The following is a 20,575-nucleotide window of genomic DNA, read 5'->3' as shown; positions in this document are numbered from 1 at the left end:
GAATCTGAGGGAACCATGCCATGATGCACAGGACAGAATAAATAAAGCATTATGATGGCCAGGCATGGTGGCTCAAGCCTGTAATCCCAGCACTTTGGGAGGCCGAGACGGGCGGATCACGAGGTCAGGAGTTCGAGACCAGCCTGGCCAACATGGTGAATCCCCGTCTGTACTAAAAATACAAAAAAATTAGCCAGGTGTGGTGGTGGGTGTCTGTAATCCCAGCTACTCAGGAGGCTGAGGCAGGAGAATTGCTTGAACCTGGGAGGTGGAGATTGCAGTGAGCCAAGATCTCACCATTGCACTCCAGCCTAGGCGACAAGAGCGAGACTCCGTCGGCATTATGTCTGTGGCGTGCATTGTTATTGCTATTTTCTTATGCAGAAAAGCCATACACACAGCCAGGCATGGTGGCTCATGCCTGTAACCCTAGCACTTTGGGAAGCTGAGGCAAGTGGATTGCTTGAGTCCATAAGTTTGAGACCAGCCTGGGCAACATGGCTAAACCCCATCTCTACAGGCATCTCCATGACAACTCTGCGACATACGTACTATTGGAGTTCCCCTTCTACAAATGAAGAAACTGAGGCTGGAGAGAATGCATACACTGGTATCTGTTGAGAGCTACTGTGAGCCTGGCGTTCTACACACACTGTCTCATCGGCTGAACATTCACGGCAGCACTATGAGGTCTTGCTACTGTGAGGCAGGCATCCCTCTTCCCATTTTACAGATGAGCACACTGAGGCTCTGCCCCAGTCATGCAGTCCCACAGCTTCTACTGAATGCCCGGCTGAAATGCAGCTACAGATAGAAGCTGGGCGCGGGGCAGGGGAGACGGGTGGGGGGGTTGTTTTTGGGCAGGGGTGTTATTTTATTTATTTATTTATTTTAATTAATTAATTAATTAATTAATTTATTTATTTATTTATTTTGAGACGGAGTCTCACTCTGTCTCCCAGGCTCGAGTGCAGTGGTGCGATCTTGGCTCACTGCAAGCTCCACCTCCCAGGTTCATGCCATTCTCCTGCCTCAGCCTCCCAAGTAGCTGGGACTACAGGCGCCCGCCACCAGGCCTGGCTAATTTTTTTGTATTTTTAGTAGAGACGGGGTTTCACTGTGTTAGCCAGGATGGTCTCGATCTCCTGACCTCGTGATCTGCCCACCTCAGCCTCCCAAAGTGCTGGGATTACAGGCGTGAGCCACCGCGCCTGGCTATTTATTTATTTTTGAGACAGAGTCTTGCTCTGTCACCCAGGCTGGAGTGCAGTGGTGTGATCTCGGCTCACAGCAACCTCCACCTCACAGGTTCAAATGATTCTCCCGCCTCAGCCTCCTTAGTAGCTGAGACTACAGACGTGCACCACCATGCCCAGCTAATTTTTGTATTTTTAGTAGAGACGGGGTTTCGCCATGTTGACCAGGCTGGTCTCAAACTTCTGGCCTCATGTGATCAGCCCACCTTGGCCTCCCAAAGTGTTGGGATTATAGGCGTGAGCCACTGCATCCAGCCAGGAGTGTTATCGACATAAATGGGAAGATGGGGGTGGCAGCCTCCTCATCAGGAGGAGGAAAAGGCAGGGAGCCAGGCTGGTTTTGTTTTTGCCGGGCCATCTGGGTGGAGGCACCCTGTGGATAGGGGCCGAGAGAGGAGGGGTCAGGGCAGAGCTGTGGGTCATCAGGGAGGCAGCCAGGTTCAAGTGACAGGTGTAGCCCTGGGGGCTGTGAGGTCACCGTGGGTGGGGACTGGGGGTTGAGAGAGCAGCCCCTGAATGGGAACCCAGTGTAGGATCCCAGAATTTTCTCCAAAAATGGAAAGGAAGAATTCCTCTTTCCCAGGGCTACAAGGGAAGGTATGAGAAAAGGGTGTGGGTCACAGCAGGCACCGATTTTTAGAAAGTTTTCTTTTACTTGCTCCTCCCCTTCTCTCTCTCCTGTTGAACTCACACTGCAGTCTTTGACCAAAGGAGCCAGTGTTGGGGGTCCTTCCCGAAGGGCCATGGAAGCAAAAAACCATGTCCCAGTGGCCTGGGATGTAGGGGCTCCTGCGCTGTAAGGGATGGTGGTGGCTGATGTCAGGATGGTGGAATGTTTTTGAGTATGTTCTCTTTCTCTCCATATCCCTCTCAATTTTTCTCTCTTTCCCTTTTATCCTCCGCCTGCTCTTGTTGCAAAAAGATTTCATGATAGCTGAGTGCCAAGTACGTCCCACACATTATAGGGGATGCAAAGAGGAATGACACCCTTCCTGCTCTCAACTTTCTTTCATTCACTCAACAAACACTTAAATAGCACCTCCTGTGTGACAGGCATAGTTTCCCTTAAAACACACACTCATTCCTTCATTCGTTCATTCAATCAATCAATCAATCACCACACACTCACTCACCCCTCACTGTGTACCAGACCTTGTGCTGAGGACAAAGGTGGATGGGACAAGGTGGAAAATCTGGGGTTCCCTTGTGGACTCCCCCCAGTCCTCCTTGACAAGGACGTCATTCTACATCTGCTAAACTCAAGCCATGGCTGTCCCTGCCTGTCCCCTCAGCTCAGGTGGTGGCTTTCCCACCTGCTCCCAGCCTGGTTCCCATGCTGACGGGGGTGGGGAGCAGGATGGCTGGGTTGTCATCACCCCGGGTGGCACTGACCTGGGCCTCGGGGAGATTGCCAGGGTCAGTGTGAATGGAACATACGAATTCCCAACACACCACATACCACAGCAGGCCAGTCTGTCTACACCAGCCAGCCAGGGCACAGCATGTGCTTGTGGTTTTGCACTCAGCCATCACCAGCTGGTTGGAGCAGTTTGGGATCAGATACTCTCCTGCAGACCAGCTGGGGTGGAGTGGTTCAGCTGCCCCGGGGAAACGTCTCCCAGGCCAGGCCAGGAGCAGCAGGCAGCCTCGAAGGGAGTGAGAGAGGCAATGACCTTGGGCTGCTTCTGACAGGCTCTGTGACCTTGGCCTAGCCACTGACCTCTCCTGGGCCTCAGCTTCCTTCTCTGTAAAATGGGAATCACGTCGACCTGCTTCCTGGGTGGTTGCAAGGTTTGGAGGGCCCGGCATGTGGTAACTGCTCAGTATGGGACGGCTACTAATAATAACAATAAATGAAGCAGCAGACAGCTCAGCCCAGGGGGCAGTTCCCGGCCAGGAGATGCCCCAGTGGCTCTGGTGCATTTCTGCTCAGGTGCCTCCATTTATGATACACCTACCTGGCCGAACCAAAACTTAACCAAGGCTCTTGTTTCTCTGCCAAAGCCTGGAGGCTCATTCTCTTGGTTCTGTGTGCTGTTGTTTTCCTTCATTCTCTCAAAGCCTCAGTGATAAGCCAGGCCTTCCAACTGCCTGGGCACTGTGGTCAGAGGATGGGGACAGGAGAGGGACACGCCCTGTGTCTGGTCCACCAAGAAGATGAATAAGGGGCTCAAAAGACAATGGAGGCCGAGGGGCACACAGCAGGTGGACCGAGGGGCTAGGTCCGCCTCAGCCCCCTCTGTCCCATGTGGCTTCCTCAAGAGGGGAAGGGAGAAGGGCACAAACGGGTGGGTCTGGCACCTTTATAGCCACTCTCTCTGCTAGATGGGGAAACTGAGGCTCAGAGAGGTAAGGGCCAGCTGGGAACTGGGCCACTGGGATTCGATTCTAAGATGAGTGTGCTTCCTCTGGCTGTGTTCCAGATGTTCTCAGCTCCTAAACAAGGAACTTTCATAAACATCTGGGGGTTCACACCAGGTGTGTGCATGCCCTCAAGCGTGTGACCCACATGTGTTATCATAAGACCATCCAGAGCTGAATCTTCTTGTAACTTCCAACACCCTCCATACAGCCAGCACTGGGAGCTTGAGCCCCAGACAGTGACATCATTCCTCCAACTCCAGCATCCGCCATCTCCTGATCAACCACCCCCATGAGGGTGGCATTCAGTGTCTGCCACTCTCACACACAGAGGCTCATGCAGTCCTCGCTGCTGTCAAAGGAAAATAAATCTCAGGACCCCAAACTCACTAAGCCAAAGGGAAAGTCAAGCTAGGAACTGGGTCATGCAAATCTGCCTCCCATTTTCTTTCTTTCTTTCCTTCTTTCCTTCTTTCCTTCCTTTCCTTTTTTTTTTTTTTTTTTTTTTTGACAAGGTCTTGCACTGTCGCCCAGGCTGGAGTACCGTGGCATGATCTTGGCTCACTGCAGCCTCCGCCTCCCAGGTTCAAGCAATTCTCGTGCCTCAGCCTCCCGAGTAGCTGGGATTACAGGCATGCACCACCACGCCTGGCTAAGTTTTTGTATTTTTAGTAGAGATGGGGTTTCACCATGTTGGCTAGGCTGGTCTTGAACTCCTAACCTCAAGTGATCTGCCCACTTCAGCCTCCCAAAGTGTTGGGATTACAGGCATGAGCTACCACGCCTGGCCCCATTGTTTCTTTCTTTCTATTTTTTTTGAGGCAGAGTCTCGCTCTGTCGCCTAGGCTGGAGGGCAGTGGTGCCATCTCTGCTCACTGCAACCTCCGCCTCCCAGGTTCAAGCGATTCTCTTGCCTCACCCTCGCGAGTAGCTGGGACTACAGGCGCACGCCACCATGCTCAGCTAATTTTTGTATTTTTAGTAGAGACAGGGTTTCACCATGTTGGCCAGGATGGTCTCCATCCCTTGACCTCATGATCTGCCCGCCTCAGCCTCCTAAAGTGTTGGGATTACAGGCGTGAGCCACCATGCCCAGCCCCATTTTGTTTCTAAATAAGATAGCTACAAAGATTAAAAAAAAAAAAAAAAAAGCTACATATCTCCCTCACAATTTGCCGACAAGGAAATTCCTTGTGAGCCCTAAGATCTTTCCCGTGAACCAGTTCTGTTGAATTTCACCCTGACAATGTAAGTTAATAGCTTATCTTCACAGGCATGGAACAAAGGACAGAAATCAAAGTTATCCCTCTGCTTACCTGCAACAAATGCATATCTGATTTCTTCCCTTGCTCTATGTTTATCATTTGTGACAATATAGATTCCCTGAGCTCAAGGCATAAGTGACTATTCCTCTCCCCACCTCACACGGAAAATGTATTCAGTGAAAGCTGATCAAAGACTCAATGCAACCACTTACCTCTTATCTACCCATCTTTTTTTTCTTTCTTCCTCTTTGCCCCAATACCCACTTTTTTTTTTTTTTTTTTGAGGCGGAGTTTCACTCTTATTGCCCAGGTTGGAGTGCAATGGTGCAATCTCAGCTCACTGCAACCTCCGCCTCCTGGGTTCAAGTGATTCTCTTGCCTCAGCTTCCTGAGTAGCTGGGATTACAAGCGTCTGCCACCACGCCCGGCTAATTTTTGTATTTTTAGTAGAGATGGGGTTTCACCATGTTGTCCAGGCTGGTTTCGAACTCCTGACCTCAGGTGATCCACCCTCCTTGGTCTCCTAAAGTGCTGGGATTACAGGCGTGAGCCACCACATCCGGCCCAATTCCCACTCTTTTCCCTTTAAATATTGAAGTCCCAGACCCATTTAGGAAAAAGCACGGACTACAGATTTTTCCTGTTTCTGTATTCTTTTCCTGGGCACGTCCTTAACCTTGGAAATAAACCTCTGAAAATGATTGACACTCACTTTAGTCATTTTCTTTGATTTGCATTGGAAAGGGGACCCCTCTGCCAGACACTTTGTGTGCATTATATAATTCAATCTTCGCCGTAACCCAGGAAGGGGTGTTAATTTTCCCATTTTACAGATGGGTAAACCGAGGCTCAGAGAGACAAACAGACTTGTCCAGGCTCCCCACTGTCATGCCAACTGGTCTATTCAGAAGGAAACCCGGCTGGGCGCGGTGGCTCAAGCCTGTAATCCCAGCACTTTGGGAGGCCGAGGCGGGTGGATCACGAGGTCAGGAGATCGAGACCATCCTGGCTAACACGGTGAAACACCGTCTCTACTGAAAATACAAAAAAATTAGCCAGGCATGGTGGCAGGCGCCTGTAGTCCCAGCTACTGGGGAGGCTGAGGCAGGAGAATTGCGTGAACCCGGGAGGTGGAGCTTGCGGTGAGCCAAGATCTTGCCACTGCACTCCAGCCTGGGCTGGACAGAGCGAGACTCCGTTTTTAAAAAAAAAAAAAAGAAGAAGGAGACTTTGGGAGGAAGAAGAGAGACCATAGATGGCAGCTTCTGAATGCACACTGCCCTTTGCAGTTGGCACCTCCTGGACCCCCACCCCTTCTAGGCCTTTACCAAATCCTTTGGAAGTTGAATGAGCTCTGCCCACAGGGAGCAGTGCCCAGGGGAGTCCACTCCCCAGCATTTGGAGGCAGGGTGGGCTGCGAAGCAGGGTGGGTTTAGGGTCAGACAGTCCTGGCTTTGCCACCTTTAACTTTTTTTTTTTTGAGACAGAGTCTCACTCTGTTGCCCTTGCTGGAGTGCAGTGGTGCAATCTTGCCTCACTGCAACCTCCACCTCCCAGGTTCAAGCAACTCTTGTGCCTCAGCCTCCTGAGTAGTTGAGATTACAGGCATGTGCCACTACTCCCATCTAATTTTTTTTTTTTTTTTTGAGACGGAGACTCACTGTGTTGCCCAGGCTGGAGTTCAGTGGCACAATCTCGGTTCACTGCAGCGTCCGCCTCCTGGGTTCAAGCGATTCTCCTGCCTCAGCCTCCCAAGTAGCTGGGACTATAGCTGCGTGCTACCACGCCCGGCTAATTTTTGTATTTTTAGTAGAGACGGCGTTTCACCATGTTAGCCAGGATGGTCTCGATCTCCTGACCTTGTGATCCGCCTGCCTCGGCCTCCCAAAGTGCTGGGATTACAGATGTGAGCCATTGCGCCCCGTCTAATTTTTTTGTATTTTTAGTAGAGACGGGGTTTCCCCATGTTGGCCAGGCTGGTCTCGAAATTCTGACCACAAGTGATTTGCCCATCTTGGCCTCTCAAAGTGCTGGGATTACAGGCATAAGCCACCGTGCCCAGCTTGCCACCTTTAATTTATGTGACCCTCGGTTAGGTGTTTTTGCCTCTTTTTTTTTGAGACAGAGTCTTACTCTGTCACCCAGGCTGGAGTGCACTAGCCCAATCTTGGCTCACTGCAACCTCTGCCTCCCGGGTTCCTGACTTTGGGGACAGAGAGAATGGCTTGAGCAAAGTTATGGAGGCATGAATATGAGGGGCGGAGGTGAGGAGGGAGTGGCCCTCCCACCTGTGTGGTTCAGGAAGAGGCCGATGGCTGCTCAGGAGATGGGAGGGAGGCGCTGTCTGGGGCTATGTTAAGAACAGATAAGAAGTGACAGGAAGGTCTGGAACGGAGACCCATGGGGAGAATGGAGGGTCCTAGAGTCAGGCTGCCTGGGTTGAGTCCTGGCTCCCCTACTTATTAGCTGTGTGGCTTGAGGTGGGTTACTTAACTTCTTGGAGCCTCTGTTTCCTCTTTTGTAAAATGGGAATAACAACATTACCTGCCTCCCAAGGCCATTGAATGAGTTGAATGTAGGAAGTGTGATGTAAATATTAGCCATTGTTACGTGAGATGTTCAGGGGATAGAGTGACAGGCTCAACGTGTGGCTGAAGGAGGAGAAAAGAAGGATTTAGAGGCCCCTGTGAACTCCGGAGTCCCCATCCTTTCTGGGAGAAATGGGCAGTGCCTTCCTCTCTGCCCAACACTGACCAGCTGTCCACCCACCTCTCTAGGGCCAGAGGAAGCACTTGTGATCTTGATTACTACTCATGGACGCTGGGTAGAGGGCTAGCCTGGGCATGCTGGGAGAGGCCCTGGGCTAGCTTCAGCTCCTGTCATTTCCTTCACACCCATTCTCAGAGGAGTTGGGGGCGCCTCAGATGATGTCAGGTGATTTTCTTTTTCCTTTTCTCCCCAACTTCTTGGTCTCCTGCCTCCACCATGTGGCCCTGGGAGACCATCCCGACATTTCCTGCTGTTCTCTGGCTGCTGGGGCTCAGGCAGTAGCAAAGAAATGTCCCCGGCACTCCTGTGGGCACCATTCTAGGGCCACCGATGCCCAGACTGGGATGGGGAAGCCAGGGGCAACCACTCCTATTCCTGACAACAGCAATTGTTGCAGGATAATTTAGGAATCAGAGAGACCGAGGGGTTGAGGAGGATTTATTATTTAGATTCACTGGCTCAGTCAGGCTAACATTTCAAAAGACTGAGCCCTGAACAAAGAGTTAAGTTATCTTTTAAGCATTTCATGGGGCGGGGGTAGATCTGTGCAGGGGGAAGCATATTATAGAGGCAAGAAACAAAGACAGTTATTTAATTGAGACATGCATTATATTATTTTTTACTTTTTAAGGAAAAAAATTTTTACAGCTTGAGTTTATCTGTCTAGTGACCTTGCAGCTGCACAGCTGGAGAAACAGGGTCTTTACAATGCCTGGAAAAAGAGGAGCAATAAGGCTCACTAGCCACAAAAAAACAGGCAGTTAATTTTTAAGGGACTCCAGCTCTTTTTTTTTTTTTTTTCCAGGGAAAATTGTTTTTTTTTTTTTTAACATAGAACTGAGTTTTTGCTTACACGTTTTAAAATTTCTTTTAATTCCTGTTCTACAATAACAACAATGACCCTGCACACTCCCCGAGAGCATTCCTCAACTCTCTTGTTTAACCCAGACCCTGCCACAGAGCATGGCACTCAGCATTTGTTAAATGAGTAAATAAAAACTACCAAGGATGGGCCCACCACTGTGCTAAGTACTCAGCCAACATCTGCACATTTTTTCACATTGAATTCCTATAACCAGCCCATGATGTGAGTATTATCCCCATTTCACAGATGAGGCAACTGAGGCTCAGTTGCCCAAGGCCTCCTTGCTAGCCAGCAGCAGGTCCAGGCTTCCTACCTCAGTCTCTGCCGCCACAGAGCCCCGTTTCGCCATCCCCACCCACGCTATTATGCACCCACTGAGGGAGGCTTAGCTAAGAGATGTGGGGTAACAAACTGTGCTGTGAACCAGGAGGCCCAGGGGCTAACCTTACTTCCAGGGCACACGTGCTGTGTGACCTTGAGCAAGTCACAGACTCTCTGTAAGCTTCTGTTGCCTCGATGAAGACAGGGAGATGGATGGCCTGGTTTGCCCCATAATAATTTATCTGTCGTGTGTTCCTGGGGAATTTGCACTTGTACATGGCAAAGAACCCACAGCCATGAGACTGGCACTTCCCAGGGCTGCTGGGGTCTTCTCTCTCCAGCTACTCCCCTGGCAGTGGCTGCAGAGGCTGGAGCCTAGAGCCTGGGCCAAACACATGCTCCTGTGTCAGTAGAACTGGGTCATCCAGCATCTCCTGACCTGCCTCCAAAACCCCAGAAGGCCCCCCTCTTACCTGCAGATGTCAAGCTGAGTCAAGGTGCCCAGCACACACACGGCATGGGTGGGCTGCTCTGGGGTCACACGGATCAATGTCCCCTGGGCCATCGTCGGGCTAGCTCGTCCCTCTGGCTGTAGGAAGCCCCTGGGCTGGTTCCTTTATATCGCCCAGCAGAGGCCATGAGTCAGCACCTGCGGTCTGTGGCCCAGAGGCTCAACCCCTCCCCACTCAGGTCAGGGGTGTGGGCTCTCAAAATCTCCTCTGCCCTGGGGCTGCCCCTCGGACCTCTAGATGGGTGTCAATGCTGGTACCAGTGGCAGGGTGGCTCTGTCAGTTTCTTGGGAAGGATGGATGGCTCAGAAAGCCTGGGGTGGAGAGTGGGGCTGAGGGGTTGGGTCCTGGTCCTCATGCCCACAGTCCCATCCCTGCCTAGAGGCCCTGAACACCTTGATCTATCCAATCTCACCTATGTCAAACAGGCATATCAGAGAGGAGAAGGTGGGAAAAGCGGGGAGATTTTAGGTAAGCAGTCACAGGCCAGGCTACACGTTCAAAGACCAACCAGGCTTGGGACAAGTCTCTCCACCTGGGCCACCCACATGACAGCTCACATTCTCTATGCCAGGCACGTTTTCCTGCACTTCACATAGAATAGCTCATTACGACAAACCCGTGAACTAGATCATACCATTATCCCCTTATTTCACCCTCACAGCAGCCCTCTGAGGTTGGTGCCATTATTATACCCATTTTACAGAGGAGAAAACAGAGGTGCAGTTCTTCCACAGCTCGAGAGTGGTAGGGCCAGAATTGGAACCAAAGGTGTCCAGTTCCAGAGTGTGAGATTCATTAGCTGCCTGTCTATATGACACGTGCTTTCCAGACTGTATCACAGCTACATCTCGCTACAATACAAGGTGTATATGGGCTTATTATTACAACCCATTTTACAGAAGGAAAATTGAGGCTCAGAGAGTAAAAGTGACTAGCTCTTGCCCAAGGTGCCAGAGCTAGAATGCGGCAGAGCTGGGAAGAGAAGATGAGCTTCCTGGCATGGAAGTTGATGTTCTCTGCATGCTCCAGGATACCTGCCTCTTGCCAGGGCCTCTGGGTGTCAGACCAGACAGTGCAGGTGTGGGCCACGCCTGCCAGGGGGATGCCCATGTGGCCTCAGAGCTGTGGTTGCACCTGGGCCATTGGTGCCAGGCTCTGCCTTTAATGAGGCAACTGGGGGGTGGTGGATGGGTCCCAACAAGGAGCACTCAAAGGGTGCATGCATGGGAGTCTGGCGTGAACATAGAGCGTTTCGTGGGTTGGATATCTTGCGTTTGTTTTTTGTTTGCTTGCTTTGGCTTTGAAGCAAAGAATTTGCCTCATTAATTCAGAGTCAGGCTGTGGGATCAAACAGGCTTTAGTTCAAATCCTGCCTCATCTCAACATCCCTATGGAGTGCGTCCTATCAGGATGCCCATGTGTAGATGAGACCACAAAGACTTAGAGAGATTGAGTGAGACCCCCAAGGTCTCATAAGCCCTACAGTGGGGATCTGGATTCAGACCACCTTCTCTGGGCTCAAAATTTATCTTCTGTACCAGCAGATGATGATGTGGCCAGGTCCGACGTTCTGACGCATCTACATGACTGCCTGCACACAGTGTTAATAAACCCAATTTCTCTGGCTGACCGCATGATTAGAACTAGTTTGAGCTTCTACTGGGAAGTGGCAGGAGGGAGCTGTCCATTGTTAGAGTTGGGAGGGCCCTTAGAGAACACCCAATCCAGTCCTCGTTTTGCAGAAGGGGAGACTGAAGCACAGAAAGGGAGTGGGACCTGCCCACGGTCACACAGCAAATCAGAGGGAGGGCTGGCCTCTACCCCAAGTCTTAGGTCTCTTGAGGTTGTTTTCTTCTGTTCCTTCTTTTCTTTCTTATTTTCTTCAGCAGTTTGGGGTTTAAATTTGCTGTGAACGAGCCACAAAGAGGACGAGCCCCAAAGCAGTTTTGTTAATTCAACAAATACTGACTGAGTGCCTATTGATGGCCAGGCACTGTTCCAGGCACCGTGGATACGCTGTGAACAAAGTGGACAAAAATCCTGCCTTCATAGAGCCTTTTTGTTTGTTTGTTTTTGTTGGGAGAGAGACAGCCAGTAAGCAATAAATGCAGTAAGTGGATTCTATCGTATGTTAGTGGGGTAGAAAAAGGAAAAAGGACAGGGTAAAGGCTACCAGGAACACAGGGAGAAGGTTCCAAGTCAAGAGAACAGCCAGTGCAATCGGTACAAAGGCCCTGAGGCAGGGACATGCCTGGCGGGTTCAAGAAAGAGCAAAGAGGCCAGTGTGGCTGAAATGCAGTGAGGGAGGGGGAGAGCAGCCCAGGGCGGGGTGCGATCATATAGGGCCTTTCGGGCATCCTAAGAGCTTTGGCCTCTGCTCCAAGTAACGTGGGGAGCCTGGAGTCATTTTGAGCAGAGAAGGACCGCGAACCAACTTGCTTGAACGTGATCACTCTGGCTGTGATGTGAGAACAGACTGTAGGGGACCCGGGAGGAGGCCAGAAGACCTGTGAGGTGGCCGCTGCACACAGGCTGGTGACAGACGGTGGGGCTCAGGCTAGCGTGGTGGCAGTGGAGGAGGGGAGGATGGGTCAGGTTCTGGACATTTTGTGATGCAATACAGCCAATAGGAGTTGCAGAGGGACTGGATGAGGGGTGTTAAGAAAGACAGAGGGATGGAGGAGGACACCGCAGTTTGGAGCCTGAGGCCCTGGAGGGATGGGGCTGCCCGCAGCTGGGCAGGGAAGGCTGAGGGAAGGGCGGGGGGTGGGCATGGTGGAGATCAGGAGTTTGGTCCTGGCTTTGCCAAGTGTCATTTGGTGTGATGATGCCCTGTAGGACGTTTGAACACATGATTCCGGAGCTTAAGAGACAGGACCAGGCTGAAAAGGATAAAACAGTGAGATGTCAACATCTCCAGCTCCCCTAGGGAATGAGTGAGGATAGGGAAGAGAGAAGGCCGAGGGATGAGCCCTGGGGTCCTCCACCAGAGACCCAGGGGAGTGATGAGGGAGAGGAGATGCAAAAGAGAATGCATGCTATTTGCAATTACACAGGGAGCAATGCAAAACTAGGTTTGTAACACACACACACACACACACACACTCACTCACACTGAGGGAAAACGGCTGCACTTTGGAAGCAAAGCCTCTTTGTAGAAACACACTTGGTCACTCACAGTGGAACAAGGGCCACGGGCTCTGTGATGGGCAGGGCTGAGGGCAGGAGCCAAGGGCAGTGGAATGAGAGGCCAACAGACTTGGGGCTGGCGCGTGCCCCACCTGTGCCTGCAGCTCCAGCTGCATCCTGACATGGCTGCTCCCCTACTGTTGGACATGGGGGCTGTCTGCAAGTTTTCAGTGTCATAAACCATGCAGCGATGCATCACTTGTGCCCGTGTCTGTGGTTATTTGCAGGTATGTTGTAGATTCATCTTTGCCCCTCTTTAGTTTTTTGGCAGAGCGCTTCATTCTTTTCCTGAGATTTGCCACACCTTGTGTTTAAATGCCCATCCCCCAGCTAGCCTGAGAGCAAGGCCAGTGCCTAGACTTGTCACTCAACACTGGTGGCTTAACGCCGTGGCTGTTTGTGTTCCCAGCACCCAGCCCAGTACTTGACCCAGACAGGATCCTGTGAAGATCCCTGAGAACCCGGCCTGGCTGTTTCTTTTGCTGATGGCATTAACCCTTTCAGAGCCCAAAGGGGACCTTTGGGGTTGGGGAGTGAACTCTCTTATACATGGTGAGCGGCTCAGGATCCAGGCCAGAAACCCTGGAGGAAGAGGCCTCTCTTCCTGCTGAAAGGCAGAATCACCAGCCCAGCTCACGCAGAGGAAGCAAGGGTGTTCTGGGTGTTGCCAAATACCCTCTAGGCATTTGGGGCCCAGAGGGCTGAGGCCACCTGAGCTCCTGTCCCAGAGACTGGCTGGCTAGCCTGCTCCAGTTGATTGCAATGACATCATTTGGGGGAAAGGAATTAGGGTCAGAGGACTCTCCCAGTGGCTCTGTGTCTGGGTATAGTGCAGTGCTGTTCTTACAGCAGATAGCCTAGCTCTTGCTTCAGCATTATTCATGCATAAGTACAGTTCATTCCCAACACTGAGCTGTTCATTCAACAAATATTCACCGAATGCCTCCTAAGTGCCTGGCCCTCGCTTAGAAGCTAACCTAGGCTTTGTTTAACATAAATGTAGAAGCACCCAGGGTGATAATAGAGACCACCATCTATTAACGCCTGCTATGTGTTTACCTGTCACTAGGTCCTTGGGCTCTATTATTTCTAATTCTCACCATTAAGTGGGGCAACAGGTACAATCTCATTTCTACAGAAGAGTGAAGCACCAGGCTCAAGGTCACACGGCCTCTAGGGGGGTTTCAAATTTGGCTTCATCCAACATGCCATGCCCTGGTGTAGCCCTGACCTATGCCAGGTCCTAACATGCATCATCTCTAATCCTCACAGCAACCTTAACATCTCTCCCCGTTTTCCAGGTGAGGAAACCGAGTCTCAGAGGAGTTAGGTAACCACTCAAGGTTACGCAGAAGGAAGTGGTGACACTTACGTTTAATTTTGCGTGGTCTAACTCCCAAGCCCCTGCATCCTCGTCCACTCTAGGGCTATGCAGCTGCCCCCAGGCCAGGTCACTTGGCCAATGAATTCTGAAGACCCTTCCAGCACAAAGAACCCTGGTCTCTCAGCCTCTCTGAATTCATGACTTCTAGCAGAACACTGGAGCATGTCTAGATCATCCAGGCTGGCTGAAACTAGAAAATCCCTCCTCCTGTGGATCATCTGAGGTCAGGAGATCAAGATCAGCCTGACCAACATGGTGAAACCCTGTCTCTATTAAAAACATAAACATTAGCTGGGCGTGGTGGCAGGCACCTGTAATCCCAGCTACTCGGGAGGCTGAGGCAGAAGAATCACTTGAGCCCAGGAGGCAGAAGTTGCAGTGAGCCGAGATCATGCCATTGCACTCCAGCCTGGGTGACAGAGCAAGACTCCGTCTCAAAAAAAAAAAAAAAAAGAAAAAAAAGAAAATCCTTCCTCCTGCAAAGTGTTCATCCCGGAGCCCCCTGCCTGCTGTGTGTATTGCAGGGGCAGTCTTTTCTCCTCTCTGTTCACACAGCTCTTCCCTGCCCCCAGCATCTCTCCTTTCTCTCCCTTGCAGAATCCTTCTAGGTTTTGGAAGGATTCATGGGCACACAAGGGCATAATCATGACTCTAACATGTGCCAGGCTCTGCCCTGCACTGGAGCCCATTCATGTGAACAATACACTAACCCAGTGAATGTCAGTCATTGACAGATGAGTAGCACATTAGGGGCAGAGACAGGAGATGGAGCCCAAATCTATCTGCATCAAAAGCCTGCAACCTTCCCCTCTGCCACCTTTGAGAAAAGGAAGGGGACCAGTCAGATGAAGGCAAATGTCTCTGCATTCCCTTTCTGGAACTGGCTCCTACCCAACCCTTGACACCAGGTGCTTACATTTCTTCTCTGGCACCCAGGATTTCTCCTGGGGACCAAGACCATGAGAATGTGAGTGACATGAAAGCATGGACTTTGCTTTGCTCACTGTTATCTCCCTAGTGCTTAGGACAGGGCCTAGCACAGAGTAGGTGCACAAGAAATACTGTATTTTACTGAATTTATGACACTATTTATTTTAAGATACATTCCTTCCTCTAGCATCGTCTGTTGAAAAGACTCTCTTTCAACAAATTGAAATTGAATTGCTTTTGCATCTTTGTCAAAAATTGTACATGTTGGGCATACATGTGTGGGGCTATTTCCAGGTTCTATATTCAGTTCCATTGATCTGTGTCTGTTCCTCCAATAATACAACACAATTTTGATTACTGTAGCTATATGATAAATCTTAAAATTGGGTAGTATATTAGGCTCTTCCTGCCTTGCTATAAAGAAATACCTGAGACTGGGTAATTTATAAAGGAAAGAGGTTTCATTGGCTCATGCAGGCTTTACAGGAAGCATGGTGCTGGCATCCTCTTGGCTTCTAGTGAAGCGTCAGGGAGCTTTCAGTCATGGTGGAAGGTGAAGCAGAATGCAGACACTTCACAGGACGAAAGCAGGAGCAAGAGAGAGAGCGAGCCTGGGGAAGTGCCACACACTTTTAAATGACCAGATCTCACAAGAACTCACTCGCTATCACAAAGACAGCACCAAACCATATGTTGGGGTGATCAGACCCAAAACCAGGTCGTGGGGGCGACAAAGTCTGGCAGAGTCAAAGGAATGAGAAAAAGACCTTTTGAGAGAGCAAGTGGGACCAGGGGGCCATTGCGAGTGTGAAGACTGAGAAGGCCCTGAGCTCTGGGAGCCCACACTGTTTATTGGTGCTCAAACAAACTAACAGGTGGTGAGGATGCAAACAAACAGGTGGTGAGGATGTGGGGGTTGAAAGGAAACAGTGTATCAAGTGAATGAAAAACATATGGCTGCTTGAGATAATGGGAGTGCTAGAAGCAAGCAGCCAGCAAGTCTAGCAGACATGCAAGCCCTGCCTCAGCTTCTCTCCCAACACTCAGCTTTTCTCCCAACATGCCCCCCTTCTCTTTTTTGGGGGGGCACTCCCAGGCTGGAGTGCAGTGGCATGATCTCGGCTCACTGCAACCTCTGCCTCCCGGGTTCAAGCGATTCTCCTGCCTCAGCCTCCTGAGTAGCTGGGATTATAGGCGCTTGCCACCACGCCCAGCTAATTTTTTTTTTTTTGAGACGGAGTTTCACTCTTGTTGCCCAGGCTGGATTGCAATGGCACGATCTCGGCTCACTGCAACCTCCACCTCCCGGGTTCAAGCGATTCTCCTGCCTTAGCCTCCCAAGTAGCTGGGACTATAGACACCTGCCACCATGCATGGCTGATTTTTGTATTTTTAGTAGAGACGGGGTTTCACCATGTTGGCCACCAGGGATTTTAATAGGAATTTAGACCCAAGCTGGCTCAATGTCCAAGACTTTTCCTCCACCACTGGACAGTTGGATGTGAAGGGCCCATAGCAACCATGTGAGAGAGGCTTTCTTGGTGCTGGTGACAACTGGTATCTGGCCCAGCCAGTGGAGAATAGGCTCAGAATCTGCTTTCCTCCCTGGGGAAAGGAGGCTTCCCCAGCTTGGCAGAGACTAAGTCAAAAGATAAATTTCTTCTATTTTGGGGGGAAACAACCAGCTCATTATTTGGGAGTTTGAAGAAGACACCTCTCCCTGACAATGTTCAAAGTTCTTACCCTACCCACTGGAGGAGACTCAAAATGCCACCAGTTTTGGAACTTTGCTTTCTGGTGATGGAAACTCCACAAAGGAGACCTCATATTTTGCATGGTAGAATTAGTGAGTTCCACAGTTTCCTTTTAAAAAGTTTAGAAACCATTTCCCCCTCCTTACTATAAGTGGATCATAAGAAAAATGGTGGTGGAGGGGGATATGAGTTGAAGGAAATACAAAATAAAAATATCACCTGGTTTCAATCAGATAGTCATTTCCAGCACACAATTTTATTTCCTCCCATTTTTAACAGAATTTTAGATTTCATATCTTACAGGTTTTTTATTTATTTATTTTTTTTTTTGGAGACGGAGTATTGCTCTGTCGCCCAGGCTGGAGTGCAGTGGCATGATCTCGGCTCACTGCAACCTCTGCCTCTTGGGTTCAAGCTATTCTACTGCCTCAGCCTCCCAAGTAGCTGGGATTACAGGCACCCATCACCACGCCTGGCTAATTTTTGTATTTTTAGTAGAGATGGGGCTTTACCACATCGGCCAGGCTGGTCTCGAACTCCTGACCTAAGGTGATCCACCCACCTTGGCCTCCCAAAGTGTTGGGATTACAGGTGCAAGCCACCACGCCCAGCCTTTTATATAGTTTTTGTTTTAACTTTTTCCAATTACTGTTTCAAAACTATTATTAATAGTAGCAATACTGATTTATTTTTTCCAGCTTTCTTGAGGTATCATTGACAAATAAAAATTATATACATTTAAAGAGTATGAGGCCGTACAAGGTGGCTCATACCTGTAGTCTCAGCACTTTGGGAGGCTGAAGTGGGTGGATCAACTGAGATCAGGAGTTTGAGACCAGCCTAGCCAACATAGTGAAACCCCATCTCTACTAAAAATACAAAAATTAGCCCAGTGTGGTGGCACGCACTTGTAATCCCAGCTACTCAGGAGGCTGAGGCAGGAGAATTGCTGGAACCTGGGAAGCAGAGGTTGCAGTGAGCAGAGATCACACCACTGCACTCCAGCCTGGGAGACAGAGTGAGACTCCACCTCAGAAAAAATGAATAAATAAAAAAAAGTGTATGTTTTGTTATACACACACAGTTATTACAATCGAGCTGACATATCCATCACCTCACACAGTTATGTGTGTGAGTGTGTGTGTATGTGAACACCTGAGATCTAATCTCTTAACAAATTTCAAGTATAAGATATATTATTATTAACCATAGTCACCATGCTGTACATTAGCTTTCCAGAATTTATTCATCTTGCAATGGACAGTTTTACCTTTTGACCAACATCTCCCATCTTCTCCTACCCCCATCCCCGGTAACCACCATTCTTGTCTCTGTTGCTGTGAGTTCAACTTTTTAAAGATGCCAGTTATAAGTGAGAATATGCAGCATTTGTTTTTATGTGCCTAGTTTATTTCACCTGGATAATGTCCTTCCAGGTTCATCCATGTTGTCTCAAATGGCAGGGTTTTCTCCTGTTTTCAAAGGTTGAATAATATTCCTCTGTGTGTGTGTGTGTCGTGTGTGTGTGTATCACATTTTCTTTATCCAATCATCTGTTGATGGACACTTAGGTTATTTCCATGTCTTGGCTACTGTTTTTTGTTTGTTTGTTTGTTTTTGTTGTTGTTGTTGTTTTTTGAGATGGGGTCTCACACTGTCGCCCTGGCTGGAGTGCAATGGTGAGATCTCGGCTCACTGCAACCTCCACCTCCACACCTGTCTAATTTTTGTATTTTTAGTAGAGATGGGGTTTCACTATGTTGGCCAGGATGGTCTCGAAATCCTAACCTCAAGTGATCTGCTTGCTTGGGCCTCCCAAAGTGCTGGGATTACAGGCATGAGCCACCACACCTGATCTTCCCTCTTTTTCCATACTTTAAAAACTTAAAAGATGCAGTCAAAGCAAATCATGCCTAATTTAAGCAAATCATTCCTAATTACCTATGGAAATTGTTCCATAGGTAATGATTACTACAACCACCATCACTTAGACCACTTCTACTTTCTTGTTTAGCTCTTTGTCATTTCATGGATCATTTTCTTCTGTAGCCATATTTTTTCACTTAACATGAAAGGTATCTGTCGCATTACCATAAAGACCTCAGAGGTTTCATATATTGCATCAAATGGAGCAATATATGAGCATCCTACTCATTCCCATAGGTTTCTAACATTTTGACCAGCTTGATTCTGATTTTTTGCTATTATGAATCCCTAATAAAGATTTGTGTCTGATTAGAGTTACTTCTTTGTTTATTTTCCTAGAGATTGAACTCCTGATATTTGAAACTGTTTTCCAAAGGATGATATCAAAACCCACCTCTGTATTTAACACACGAGGCTGTTCACTTCACCCTGGCCTGTCCAGAAACTTTCTTTTTTGTTTCTGTTTCTGCTATTTTGATGGTGGCATTTTATGTTCATTTAGTGCCTAATGAGATTAACAAATGTTCCCGGTATTTGTCATCAAGTTGTTGATGTTGTAATTGTTCTTGTTATTATGTTAGAGCAATATTGGTCAGGAGAGATGTTGGCAGGGCTGGGGTAGAGGTGAGGGGCTAGAAGTGGGAGACGGTTAGTGCCAAAGCCGGGAAACTGGAGCTTTGCAAACTGCAGGCAGTTTGCAACCTCACAGATTCATCACTTTACTTTTTCTGGTTAGGACTGTGATTGCGTCCTTCCAACCGCAAATTGAAGGTTGAACCTGGAGCTATGTTCATGTAACACTGCCATAAAACTTGTACCTCAGGTTGGTTTAAAATAACTCTGACACCTCACATTCTCCTCTGTCAGGCTTGAGTGATTCTCTTTTCCAAAATTTATTTGTTCCGTGATTCACACCCAGCAGAAGTCATGAGGCGGGGCTGGATCATGCTGTCCCAAGGGTGTTGGCAGAGCTGCCTGTTCGGTTGGTGGTTGGTTCTTCTCTTCCCAGGTGCCTTGGACTTCCCCAAGCTTTCCTTCTTGCTAAGCAGGGTTGCCCAGGCGTCTTCAGCTGCCTGTGGGTTTAGAATGAACGTGTCTTTTGGCCCTATACTCCGGGGCCCAGAAGCCATGATGGAGAAGAGTTAGGCATGGGGATGCTATATCTCCTCTTACTTCAGTGCTCTCATCCTATTTTTCACTAATCAGGGCCTCAAATGGCTGTAACATACTATTTGTGCACCCCACCTCCATTCAATTTCTTCAACGCTCATGTGTCAGGGCCTCTTTCCAGGTCTCAAGAAATTCAGGCCTCAATTTTTCTGGAATGTTCTGATTTCAAATATGCTGCCCCCAAATAATATTTCCTCAGGTACCTTCGTGCAGAGAATGGTAGGTCCTGATGTTCGTGTTCCCAGCCAGTGACATTGACTATGGTGTGCTGAGCCCTCTGCAGGCTCCAGGCTGAGCTGCTGACATGTACCACCTCACGTAATTACTTTTTCTTTTTTAAGAGACGGAGTCTCGCTCTGTCACCCAAGCTGGAGTGCAGTGGCACGATCTCGGCTCACTGCAGCCTCCGCCTCCTGGGTTCCAGCGATTCTTCTGCCTCAGCCTCCTGGGTAGCTAGGATTACAGGCACGTGCCACCACACCTGGCTAACTTTTGTATTTTTAGTAAAGATGGGGTTTCATCATGTTGGCCAGCTGGTCTCGAACTCCTGACCTCAGGTGATCCGCCCGCCTTGGCCTCCCAGAGTGCTGGGATTACAGGCATGAGCCACCGCACCTGGCCTCACATAATTCTTATCTCAACCCCATGAGGAAGGCATTATTGACCCCATTTTGTAGGCAAGGAAATAGGCTCAGAGAAGTGGAATGACTCAACCAAGATCACACAACTGTTAGTAAAATAAATCAGGACTTGAACCCAGATTTAGCTGATTGCAAAGCGTTAACCACAAGGTTTTGCTGGCCAAATACAGGGGGAGATAAAAGATCCCAGACCCTCTGATCTTCTGATTTAGATTCATTCAACAGACACCTG

The 20,575-nt window shown here is 49.2% G+C and overlaps 1 protein-coding gene across 7 annotated transcripts in view, besides 2 other annotated features; it reads right to left on the bottom strand.

The window, feature by feature from the left end:
• PADI4 (peptidyl arginine deiminase 4) overlaps window positions 1–9,428 on the bottom strand; it is a 55,808-nt gene extending 46,380 nt beyond the window's left edge. For all 7 annotated transcript variants that reach the window (NM_012387.3, XM_011541151.2, XM_011541150.1 and 4 more), the window contains exon 1: window positions 9,311–9,428. In NM_012387.3, coding sequence (NP_036519.2) covers window positions 9,311–9,402 — 92 coding nt within the window. In that variant the 5' untranslated portion in view covers window positions 9,403–9,428. The remainder of the gene's footprint in view (window positions 1–9,310) is intronic.
• Window positions 1,159–1,716: an enhancer, noted in NCBI's record as "H3K4me1 hESC enhancer chr1:17642404-17642961 (GRCh37/hg19 assembly coordinates)". NCBI's record gives its function as "activates a minimal SCP1, AML or CMV promoter by ChIP-STARR-seq in primed H9 embryonic stem cells {active_cell/tissue: H9 hESC(primed)}" and the evidence as "EXISTENCE:reporter gene assay evidence [ECO:0000049][PMID:30033119]".
• Window positions 12,246–13,106: an enhancer, noted in NCBI's record as "H3K4me1 hESC enhancer chr1:17631014-17631874 (GRCh37/hg19 assembly coordinates)". NCBI's record gives its function as "activates a minimal SCP1, AML or CMV promoter by ChIP-STARR-seq in naive H9 embryonic stem cells {active_cell/tissue: H9 hESC(naive)}" and the evidence as "EXISTENCE:reporter gene assay evidence [ECO:0000049][PMID:30033119]".

Source organism: Homo sapiens, chromosome 1, assembly GCF_000001405.40.
Source record: "Homo sapiens chromosome 1, GRCh38.p14 Primary Assembly".
Classification (NCBI taxonomy): Eukaryota; Metazoa; Chordata; class Mammalia; order Primates; family Hominidae; genus Homo; species Homo sapiens.
Note: the sequence above shows the minus strand (reverse complement) of the source record. Positions and strands in the feature narration are given on the sequence as shown.